This window comes from Homo sapiens, chromosome 6 (assembly GCF_000001405.40).
Source record: "Homo sapiens chromosome 6, GRCh38.p14 Primary Assembly".
NCBI classification, from domain to species: Eukaryota; Metazoa; Chordata; class Mammalia; order Primates; family Hominidae; genus Homo; species Homo sapiens.
In genome coordinates, this window is record NC_000006.12 from 135340693 (window position 1) to 135353409 (window position 12717).

At 35.0% G+C, this 12717-nt stretch overlaps 1 protein-coding gene across 18 annotated transcripts in view; it reads right to left on the reverse strand.

Annotated features, from left to right (window-relative positions):
- The window catches only part of AHI1 (Abelson helper integration site 1), a 214209-nt gene that overhangs the window by 57161 nt on the left and 144331 nt on the right, over positions 1 to 12717 (reverse strand). For 2 of the 18 annotated variants that reach the window (XR_007059276.1, XM_047418944.1), the window contains one exon: positions 5983 to 6104. The exons of the other annotated variants lie outside the window; for them this stretch is intronic. Coding sequence is in view for 1 of the 2 variants with exons in the window: in XM_047418944.1 (XP_047274900.1) it covers positions 6075 to 6104 (30 nt within the window). In the remaining variant the exon portion in view is untranslated. Of the gene's footprint in view, positions 1 to 5982; positions 6105 to 12717 lie in introns of those variants that run through there. 18 annotated transcript variants of the gene reach the window in all.

The window sequence follows — 12717 nt, forward strand, 5'->3', positions numbered from 1 at the left end:
ATATGTTTTTGTTTGTAATTCTTTTCTCTCCATCTAATTAAAAAAAACTTTGTAAAGAAATAGTTATAAAAATAAGTTGGTGGGCTTAAAATGTATAAAGATGTAATTTGTATAAAACCAGCACAAAGGAGGCAGAAGGGAAATGAACTATCTTGGAGCAAAGTTTTTATATACTACTGAAATTAACTTGGTATTAATCCAAACTAGATTGTTTTGAGATGTTAATTGTAATTCTAAGGGCAAACACTGAAAAAACTCAAGAAAATATACTAAAGGGAAAAGAAAATTAAAATTATATAGTAAAAAAATACTAATTTAATGCCCAAAAGTGAGTAACGGTGAAACAAAGGAAAAACAACAACGATAATATATCAGACATATAAAACTCCAAAACCAAATTGTAGACATCATCCTATCTTATCAGTAATTTCACTAAGTGTAAATAGATTAAACACTCCAAATAAAAAGCAGAGATTATCAGAATGGATAAAATAAATAATCCAATTACAAGCTATGTACAAGAACACTTCAGATTTAAGGATACAAGACTGTTGAAAAATGGAAAAAGACATACCATGCAAATGGAAATCAAAAGAGAACTGGAGTGGCTATTCTAATATCAGGCAAAATAGACTTTAAGACAAAAACTCACTCACTAGAGACAAAGAAGGACATTGTATAATAATAAAAGGGTCAACCAATCAGGAAGACTTAAAAAGTATAAACATATAAGTACATGATACAGTCTCAAAATAAAGATCAACATAAAAATAGAAGATTTAATCAATGCTGTAATAGATGTCTATAGGATGCTTCACTTAACAAAAGCAGAATACATATTCTTGTCCACAGAACATTCTCTAGGAGACAATATGTTAGGCCCCCAAATAAAACTTATTTAAATAAATAAATTTTAAAAACCTGAAAGCACAGAAAGTATGTTCTCCAACCATGATAAACTGAAAAAGAAATCATTCACAGAAAATTTCATAATGTATGGAACGTAAACAACATACTCCAAATAACCACTGGGTCCAAAAATAAAACCCCAGGGAAATTACAAGAGAATAAATGAAAAGAAAAACACGATACCAATATGTATGGGGTGTAGAAAAAGCAGTAATTTGATGAAATTTTATAGCTGTAAATGTTTTTATTAAGAGAAAAAGATATCAAGTGAATATTTTTACTCTGTACCTTAAAATTGTTAAATAAAAATTAAACCCAAAGGAAGCAGAGGGAAAAAAATTTAGAGTGGAAATAAATAAAACAACAAATAGAAAAAGAGTAGAGAAAATTAGTGAAATAAAAATTGGTTCTTCGAAAGATCAAGAAAATTGACAGAGCTTCAAATAGACTGGCCAGGGTAGAAAAAACAAAAGGTAAGATCCAAATTAATAAAATCAGGAATGAAAGAAGAAGTATCATTAACTACTTTAGGGAAATGAAATGGATTATAAGGAAATGAACTATCAATTGTATGTTAACAAATCAAATAGCTTATATGAAAGGGACAAAAAAATCCTAGAAAGATGCAACTTAAAACTGACTGAAGAAGAGAGAAAATGTGAATAGGCCAATAAAGAGATTAAACCAGCAATCAAAACACTGCCCAGAATGCATCATTGGTGAATTGTACCAAATGTTTAAACAAATACCAATCCTTCACAAACTTCCCTAAAATAAGATAGAAATGAACATTTTCTAATTCATTCCATGGGATCGGTATTACCATGATCCCAAAACCAGACAAGAAAATTACAGATCAATGTCCCTTATGAATACTGATGCAAAACCCTCAAAAATATACCAATAAACAGAATCAACATATGAAAAAGATTATATTATACATCATAACAAGTGGGATTTGTCAAGGGAATGACAGGTTGGCTTAACATATGAAAATCTACCAATGTAACAGACCATATTAATAGTATTAAAGGTAAGATCCACAGAACAAACTCAGTAGATATGGAAAATCATTTAATAAAATTTAACATCATTTCCTAAGAAAAACACTCAACAAAAGTAAGAACACAAGGAAATGTCCTCAACCTGATAATATATAATAACCTGATATATAGCCTATAAAGGCTATATATAGGCTACACACACACACATACATAACAGCATAGCTAATTTCATAATTAATGGTAAAAGACTGACAGTTTACCTTCTAAGATTAGGAAAAAGACAGGGACATTCATACCACTTCAACATTGTACTGGAGGTTCTAACTGGAAAAATTAGGCAAGAAAAAAAAAAGGCACCCGGATCGGAAAGGAGAAGTAAAACTATCTCTATTAGTAGAGTATGCAGACAATCTCAAAGAACTGATCCCCCCAACAAAATCTGAAAAAAAACAAACCCCAGAAAAACCTGTTAGAATATACAGATTCAAAAAGGTCTCAGGATACATGAGCAATATACAAAAAACCACTTGTCTTTCTATACCCAAGCAACAAACATCTTTACCTGAGTAATGAACAATCTGAACATAACACCAATTCCATTTGCAATGGCATACAAATAAATTTAACAAAAAAAATGCTGAAAACCACAAAACACCATTGAAAAAATTTAAACAGACCTAAATAAATGGACCCATGCTAAAAGACTGGGAAGACTTAATGTTTTCACAATTTAATCTATGAATTCAATGCAATTCCCATAAAAAATTTTGCAAAGGCTGAGAAGGTGATCATAAGATTCCTATGGAAATGCAAGGGATCTAAAATAACCAAAACAATCTCGAAAAAGAACAAGGTTGAAGGACACACCCTGATTTTAAAACTTCTACAGATACAGTAATTAAAACCGTGTAATGCTGACCATAGAATAGGCGTGTGTATGGATCAATGCAAAAAAATTCAGACTCTAAATATAAACTCTTACATTTTTGGTCACCTGATTTTCAACAAGGGTGCCAAGACCATTAAAAGGAAAAAAAAAAAACACCAAAAAACAAACTAACAAAAAACCCCCACTTTTTTCAACAACAGCTAAATGCGAAAGAATAAAGTTGGATCCTTAACTCACACCATCTACAAAAATAAAGTCAAACTGGATTACAGACCTTAAAGGTAACAGCTAAATATATAAAGCCCTCATAAGAAAATCTGAGAGTCAATCTTCAGATCAGGCAATGGTTTCTTAGATATAACATCATAGGTATAAGTGACAAAATAAAAAAGTAAACTAAACTTTATCAAAATCTAAAAAATTTTGTGTGTCAAAGGATATGATCAAGAAAGAGAAAAGACAACCTACAGAATGGAAGAAAATATTTGCAAATCATATACAGTCAACCTTCGGTACCCTTGGAGGATTGGTTCCAGGATTCCCCTTGGACAACAAAATCTGTGGATGTTCAAGTCCCTTATATAAAATAGTATTTGCATACAACTTACACAATCCTCCCATACACTTTAATCTCCAGATTTATAATACCTAATACAATGTAAATGCTATACAAATAGTTGTTATACTATTTTTATTTTCAAATTGTTATTTTTTTTCAAATGTTTTCCATTTGTAGTTGGCTGAATCTGTGAATGCAGAACCTACAGACACGGAGGGCTAAATGTATCTAGTAAGAGACGTGTATCCAGACTATACAAATAACTCTTACAAGTCAATAATAAACAGGTTAACTTAATTAGCTACAAATAATATAAATATATTTACATTAAAAATTTATATATATTTTACAAAATTTTACAATTTATTTTTATATACTATATAGGTATATTTATATACTATATGCCTGGTACATATTAAGTACTCAATAAGAGTTAGGTATAATTATTATTAAATTCCTAAGTTATTTGACTATTAACAAGGAATGATGTTTTCTGCAGAATGCCTATAGCTATGTGACCATATTTTCCAAACCAAATATAGATTTGTTAACTTCAAACCCTCCCTCCCTCCCTTCCTCCCTCCCTTCCTTTCTTCCTTCCTTCTTCCCTCCCTCTCTCTTCCTTCCTTTCCTTTTCTTTCTTTTTCTTTCTCTCTCTTTCTTTCCTTTTCTTTCTTTCCCTTCCTTTCTCCTTTCCTTTCTCTCTCTCTCTCTTTCTTTTTAGAATTACAGGAGAATCCATAAAGTGAAAGCAAGTTTATTAGGAAAGTAAAGGAATAAAGAATGGCTACTCCACAGGCAGAGCAAGCCTACTTCAACTCCATTTCTGAAAACCAAAAATTATTTCTCAGTTTATTGAAATAAGCTCTGATTCACACACACACACACACACACACACACACAGTATATTAAAAAAATCTAGTATACATAATTATATAACAAAACATAATTATAATCTCCCCAATTAGAAAATGAGCAAAGAATTTGAATTAGACATTTCTCCAAAGAAAACATACAAATGTCATTTCAGAAGATGCTCACATTATCGTCACTGGGAAATGCAAATGAAAATCATGAGGTGTCACTTCCTATCCACTAGGACAGCTATAATACAAAATCAGTAACAAGTTACGATGTGGGGACACTGCAACACTCATTCATGTCTGGTGTGATCGTAAAGTGGTTCAGTTGCTTTGGAAAACATTTTGACAGTTCCTCAGAAGGTTAAACAGAGTTACCATATGATGCGGCAATTCTACTCCTAAATATATACACCCAAGAGAATGGAAAACTTACGTCCATGCAAAAACCTGTACATGAATGCTCACAGAGTAATATTCATGGTAGCTAAAAATGGAAACAACCCAAATGTCCATCAGTGAATTAATGGATAAAAAATGTAGCATATCCATATACTTGATAATATTTTTGGTCATCAAAAGGAATGAAATTCTGATACATGCCACAACATGGATGAACCTTGAAAACATTACGGTAAGTGAAAAAAGACAGACACAAAAGGCTACACAGTGCGTTTATATAAAATATCCAGAATAGGCAAACCCATAGAGATGGAAAGTTGATTAGTAGTTGTTAGGGGTGAAGAAATGGAAAGGATCATTGCTAATGAGTACGGGATTTCTTCTGGGGGGGCAACGAATGTTTTAAAATTAGATAGAGGTGATGGCTGCAAAACTATAAATATATTAAAACCCACTGAATGGTACACTTTAAAAGGGTGCATTTTATGCCATGTGAATTATATCCAAATAAAGCTGTTATAAAAAAAGAACATCATGGAAATGATTGTTAAAGGAAGTGTAGTTGGTTATGATGAAGAAAGAAACAGTGCAAGAAAAAATACACGTAAGGAGACCATATTTCTCCATGTCAGAGAAGACAACCTTGATTCTGGCCATGGAAATGGACAAAAGAGGTGAGACTGTGGAAATATAATCAAAGGAGAAAGCAACATCTGTGGGATATAAGAGAACTAGCTAAGCTTAACATATTACACCAAAGTATTGCTCATAAGACCAAACAGCTGGTAGTACCAATGACAGAAAACTAAAGTGGAAAGGCCCAGTGAAGGTCCTGGGGAAGACAGGAGTTTTACTGAGCTGTGCTTATTTTTATTTTTATTTATTTATTTATTTTTTGAGACGGAGTCTCACTTTGTTGCCCAGGCTGGAGTGCAGTGGCGCGATCTTGGCTCACTGCAAGCTCCACCTCCCGGGTTCACGCCATTTTCCTGCCTCACCCTCCCGAGTAGCTGGGACTACAGGTGCTCGCCACCATGCCCGGCTAATTTTTTTTATTTTTATTTTTAGTAGAGACGGGGTCTCAGTGTGTTAGCCAGGCTGGTCTCGATCTCCTGACCTCGTGATCTGCCCACCTCGGCATCCCAAAGTGCTGGGATTACAGGCGTGAGCCATCATGCCTGGCCAAGCTGTGCTTATTTTTAGGTTCTTTAAATTACCAAGTGGTAACAGTCTAAGTATGGATTATAAAGATTTTTTTTCTAGTAAAAGAGAAAGAAAAGAATTAAGATTAGAATATGAGCTGGACAGTCATTCATGCTTGAACATGAGCTGAAACTTAAGTGTATACAGTGAGCTTACCAAGTAGGTCTCAAGGAAGAGATGAAGCAGCCCCATCACCTCATTCTTGGGGGATACAAACAATCACCTCCTCATTCCTTCACTCCTTTTCTTCAAGCAGCTGTCTGTGGCATGTGGGTAGCCTAGTTTGAAGTATAGCAGGTGTTTGTAATTTCCTTTCTCAAGGTCACAGGTGACTCTGCCAGTGCACTTCAAAAACCACAGCTTCTGGGCCCCTTTCTTCCCACCAAACCCCAAGATCCCCTTCTCACATCCAGATTACTCTGTTACTTACACATCTTTAACCCACTCCACAGCTATTAGAATTGAAGTGCCCCTCTTCCCAGGAAATTGACTAAGGTTCTATCCACTAGCCTCAGATCGTTATCTGTTTGAAACTTCTTTGTGGGCTGATGGAATGTTTTCCAAGAAATGTTTTAGAAATTGGCTTTCTTAGATAATTTCCATGGTGGATTTATTAAGAAGGAGGAAATCAAGGTCATCTGTTCTTTTTAGCTGCCATTCTGGTCAGCCTTTCCAGTGGTGCCTGTTGTCTCCAACCTTCATTATCACATTCCCTGCCTAATCCCATTGAAAGTTACAGTTATATTACAAAGATCAGATGAGATAATATATAGTATGTAGCAGGGCTTTTAAAAATATACATTGTTTCATACATGTTAACTGCTGTTAATACTACCTAAACTGCTCTCAATTTTCACAAAATTTGCCTTGTGCCACTGAATGACATTAGAGTTTAATGGTTTATTCAGATAAACTGATTCTGCTTTTAGAGAGTTAATATTTTTGGCTCATTTATCATAATGAATTAACATATTAAATCTAAATGGTTCTAGAAGACGCTTGAAGACCTTTTTTCTGTTTTCCCTTTGGCAAACGGTGATGATAATAATAATTTATCTCATAGAATTATTATGACATTCAAGTGAGATTATCTGCTTTGCACAGTGCATAGTAGGTGCCCAATAAATGTTAGGTACAATTATTATTCAATTCCTGAAGTTCTTCAAATTATCATAGAGGAAAGGTGTTTTGTAGCGAAATATTTCTGTAGAACACCCACAGCTATAAATGTGATCATATTTTCTAAATCAAATGCAGATCGACTAACTGGAATTCCTCTGCTGAAAACCAGGATTTATTTTCAGATTTGGTAAAATAAGCTCTGAAGCCAAAAAGTACTCCCAGAGAAGTCTGCATATGTTGCCATAAGATAGTGCCAGCCAGAGAGATTCTGACAAGAAAACTTTATGAAGTTTGATTTAAACTACAGAATAAGAAGGGTTTTTTCCCCCTCTACGGATTTATTTTACTTAATCTTTATGCATCTAGCTAATCTGTGACCCAATTATGTAGTTATACCAAGGGTGTCTGTGTTAGTGACGGCCGTGTGGCTATCTCTGTCAAAGACTAATCTCACTGCTGGGGACACTGAGATGACAGGATAGAGTATCACAAGAAGATGAAACTTGGTGAACTCACATGTTTATCACGGTAAAAAAACAATCTATGGAACATTAGTAGTGGCAGATGGTAGATGTCCATCTAGGCAGGAAAACCAGGGTACTAGCAGTTTGATAACCTTTGATTAAATTTCTCCCCAAATGGAAAGTAATGCTCCATAATAATGTGTGTTAAATTTTTTCTTTTCCAAATAATTGTTTCCTTCATTTCATAGCCTGTTAACTCAAGGTTTGCTTCCTGCTAGTGACTATATTACTGCTTCCTTAGAGTGGTTAAATTTTATTTTCCTTTTGGTAAAGGAAAATTTTAAGTAACCACTATATCTTATTTTAAAGGCATGCAGTAAATGCTTTGTTAAAGCACAATAAACACTGAAATTACTATTAAGTAGTAACACTCCTCATGCAAAATTACTTAAAAATAAAAACTTAAATTGCCTGCAGGAAAAAAAATTGTTGCCATTTTGATTTTGTGCACTGTTTAACATTTTTCTCATGTTTTTGAATAAAGAAAACTTGTATGAGGCATTATAAAACTCGTTAATGCTACAAAGTTTGGAAGGCAGCTATTAACACAGTTGAAAAAATCAAGATTCAAAAGAATTTTGACAAGCAGGGTAGCGAGTCAAAAATGAATCTATGAAATTCAGTAAAAAGAAATGGACAACATTGCAGTTAGGGTTAAATAGTAATAGCTAATGGCCGAGAGATTACTGTGTGTTAGACACAGTATTTAGTACTTGAAACAATAGAATAATATTAATAAGGCAGACACTATTATCATCTTCTTTCCAGATATAAGGATGGTATGAGGCACAAATATATAAATAATGAGAAGACTTGTCTCAACAACATATCTTTAAAACATCAAGGAGTTATGTTCAATAACAAACAAAATATCCAGATAATAGAAACCAATAATACCTAGTCTTGAACTCCTGGGCTCAAGTGATCCTTCTGCCTCAGCCTCCAGAGTGGCTGGGACAACAGGTGCGTGGCACTGCACCTAGCTAATTTAAAAAAAATGTTTTTAAGAGATGGGTTCTTGCTATGTTGTCCAGGCCAGTCTTGAACTCTTGGCCTCAAGCGATCCTCCCGCCTCAGCCTCTCAAAGTGCTGGCAGGCATGCGCCACCACACCTGCCCCTTTTCTTATATTAGAAAAAATAGTGAGAATTTATGAAATGAAGAAAAAAGATTACTGGGTGTTCATTCAATAGAACACTAGGCAGCCTGACCAGTGCCCTCCCTCTTTCACGCTATATACTACACGTGTTCTCCAACCCATCTGCTGGCTAAATTGCACAGATATCTGGATCCCACATCCCACTGCTTAGCATTGTTTATCAAGCACTGAGTTTATGAAGGTGGAGAGACTGGGCCCTATAGTGAAGAGACTTAGATTCTGATCTACTGACAACAACTAACCTATGCCCACTTATTAAGCGGCATGAAGTTTTCAACAAAAATGGTGGTGGGTGTTAACTGCCACATTATAACATAAGGAAGTGAATTCTAACTGAATCCTAAGAATAAATAAAATGATAAGTGAGCATTCAAAGGATCACCACTAGAGATGTGCTTCATTTTTCTGCTCTAATATATTGTCTTTGAGCAATAAGAGCAGCTGAAAAAGATGCATAGAACTTTAGACCCAAAAGTTGACTTTAAGATCAATTTTTTCAACTTTTGTCATTCTAGCAATTAGAAAAGTAAGTCCCTTGGCAAGAGACCTTGCCACAACTGACCTACTCTACTCCTTTGTCAAATGCTAAAACCCAGTTTGCATCTTTCTCCTGCCTCATTCATATTGCTGGATCTTTCCTTCCATCTGAGAAATATTTATTTTGAATGGAATACTGTTGTATAATTACCCAAACTGTACTTTTCACTTTCACAGAACAAGGAAAAAGAAATCTTTATTTCACATTCTATATAGGTTTATCTCATGGCAGTCCTTTTGGCAAAATGCTTTCTTTTCTGAAATAAGTCAGTAACATATCCACAGGGCTAAATTAATTGCTATTCTATTTTCCATCTCCTCTCATGACAAGCCTCTTCAATTGCTTCTGATTCATCATGCCTCCTAGTGTGACCATCCAGCTTCCTTTCTGGGCCCTGTTCTCATTCTCCCAGAGACAGCATAAAAACACACTCCATTTCCATACTTGCATTGGTTTCCGAGATGCTACATTATCCCTGATCTCCTGCCTCCCTTTCTACCATTTGTCTTCTTTGAGGGCTCTTCTTCCAGCTTTCAAAATATGAACATACATCTAGGCCGGCTCTCTGTTCTTACTTATTCTTACAGTTTCATCATATATACATTTATTCATTTAAGCAGTATCTACTGAAGGCCTATAAGTAGTGGTGAGTAAGATGGACATAGTCCATGCTGTTATGGAACTTACATCCAGTTAAGGAAGACCAGATAAGAAAATAAATAAAAAATTCCAAATTGGGATAACTGCTAAGGAAAAAAAAGAAAGTGTAATAATAAAGACTAATGGGGGTGAAGGAAGGTCTTTTGAAAAGTTAACATTTACCTGGGATCTCAAGAAAAGGCCTATTATGCAAAAGGTTGTGTATATTCAGGGGCAGAGAGATCAAATGTTCGAAGGTCTTTGGGTGAGTGGGAGAAAGGTTGGTTGTGTTCAAGAAACTCAGAACAGAGAGTACCATAGGATGATGCTGAAGAGACAGACAGACAGCAGATCATGCAAAGCCCTATAGGCCCTAGGAAAGGGTTTGGGTTTTATCCTAAACATAAGGAGAAGTTACTGAGGGTGTAAAGCAGGAGGTTATCCCATTCTGACTTATAGATCACTTTGGCTATCATGACTTACAGAACTGATGAATAAGGTGATCATATATTTAGGGTTGCCCGAGATAGTCCCAGTTCATGCCTATTGTCCTGGCATAACTGAACTTCTGCATTGATTTCAGGGAAGAGTCACAATATGCAATAAACAAATACATACATAAATAAAACAAAAAACAAAAAAAACAAAAAAAAAAAAAGAAAGAAAATTGACTAAGACACAAACAAGCTGTGGGAGGCAACATTCATCAGGTTTCCTTGTTCCTGATCTCCTTGACCTAACTGGGATCCTTCCTTGGGTGCTCCCTTTGATTCTTGAACTAGTTTTACTTCTCAAGCTTGAAATATGTTCTTGTCCTTAATATCTGGCTATCTCCTGTAATTAAATAATATTCAGCAGCTGGTATACACAAATATATCGAGTGAGGTCCTATTTGCATAAACTCATTCCTCATAACATTCCATGAAGTAGGTATTATCCCCATTTACAGATGAGCAAACTGAAGCACAGAGAGGTAAAGAAACGTGACTAAAGACAAACACAGCCAAAGAATCAGGACTTGACACCAGGTAATTTGGTTCTGGAATCAGTGTTCTTTACTTCTAACATTGCTTCTCAATGTGAGAAACCGTAGGCATATTTAGGAACTGCAAATAGCTCAGAGCGGCCAGAGTGAGTACTGGGACAAACTGGAGGTAAGTTTAGAAAAGTAGCAGAAGGGTTTCAAATGACATGCAAAACAACTAAGTTTTCATCTGACAGGTGATGGGGTACACCACAGGATCTTAAATACATGATCATATTTGTGCTTTGGATAAACAGCTCTGTGGAATAGGTGGAATAGAAGGTGGGTAGGAGGAGAATGGTTCCTGACTCAGCTTTTTCTAAAGACTGGACCTGCGCCTCCTTCCTGGATGGGGCCTTTGGATATCCATTGTGAAGAACCTGCATGCAATTATAATACATGACTTCCCACAACCTAGGCCTGGGCCTTCCAATGATGGGATCTCCCTTTTTAACTACAACTTTTCCTTTGAGTCCCTTTCATCAGCTCTCATCTCCAAGTCTTTTTATAAGCATACCTCTATTTCCACACTGATCCCGATAGTCTCCTTATTTAAATCCTTATCACCACAAATGTAGATTTCTGTAGCTTCACAGCTCAGTTACCTTCTTCCTAACGCCACCACCTGCAATTTCATGAGCTGCTTTTATTTTAATCCTTTTAAAACATTACTCCCTTCATCATATTATTCTCATGATCAAATACCTTACTATTGCTTATACAGATAGTCTTAACTGTTAACCTAACATTCAATGATCTTTATAAATGATGCCCAAATCACATTTTCCAATCTTCTACTATCTCATCTACGCTGCTGCAGTCAAATTTTCTACCCATCTATAAACTGTGTGTACACAGTGTGTCTTTCTATAATCTTTGGTCACACTGTTACTCTGGTCTAGCAAAACGCATTCTTTTAAAAATCCCATCCTTTCATGATCTGGTTTAGCACTTGCCGACTCTAAACAGCCTTCCTAAACCACTCCAGTGCTGGGAATTCCTACAGCACTCAAAGCCTTACACCATATTCCTATATTTGGGCACAAACTGCCTCAGTAACATGACATCCCTTCCGTTATTGCTCTGAATTTTTTATTCATTTCATATATTAGGATTTAGCTGTTTACAGGTCACTTTTCTAATGACATCAAGAACTACTCAAAGACACATTGTGTGTGTATATATATATACACACACACACACACACACACACAATATATATACACACACATATATATATGTGTGTGTATACATATATCTAAAGACCTATAAAACCATGTTTTGTGGGTTTTTTTTTTTTTTGGTATTTCTACTTTTCCCATAGTATTTCCATACCTCACCAGTGCTAGGTATGGTACTATCCTATGTATATTGTATACCTCATGTTTCTTGATAATTTAGAAAATTCAATTTATGCTGCTGTTATATCTTCCAGTAATATAAAATTTTCAGAATTTTAAGAGTTTTTCAGGTAGAAAAATTTAGCAAAACCAAAAGAGAAATGGAGGAAAAAAAGTCTAAGAAAAACATAAATGCCAGTGGAGTATGCTAATGGGAAAAAAATCAACATAAGCTTCACAATTTACAATGTCTGGAGAAATAAACTGATGTGCTTATACTTAAACATGTTATATTACGGAAGACTACAAGTGGTTGTTAAAGAGAACCTATTTTGCATTTATATTTGAATTTCGATAGAACTGCTTTGAATTGCTACTTTATTGATAAGGGAAAACAAGTTCTTTTATGACAAGTTATAAAAGCTTATAGTTTATCAGTTCCCTCTCCACCCTGCAATTACCTACAGGAAGAGATTGGCCATGGGTTCTATTTTATGAGTTTTATAGGGGCCCATTCACCCCAGTTTACATACTATGAATTCTTGG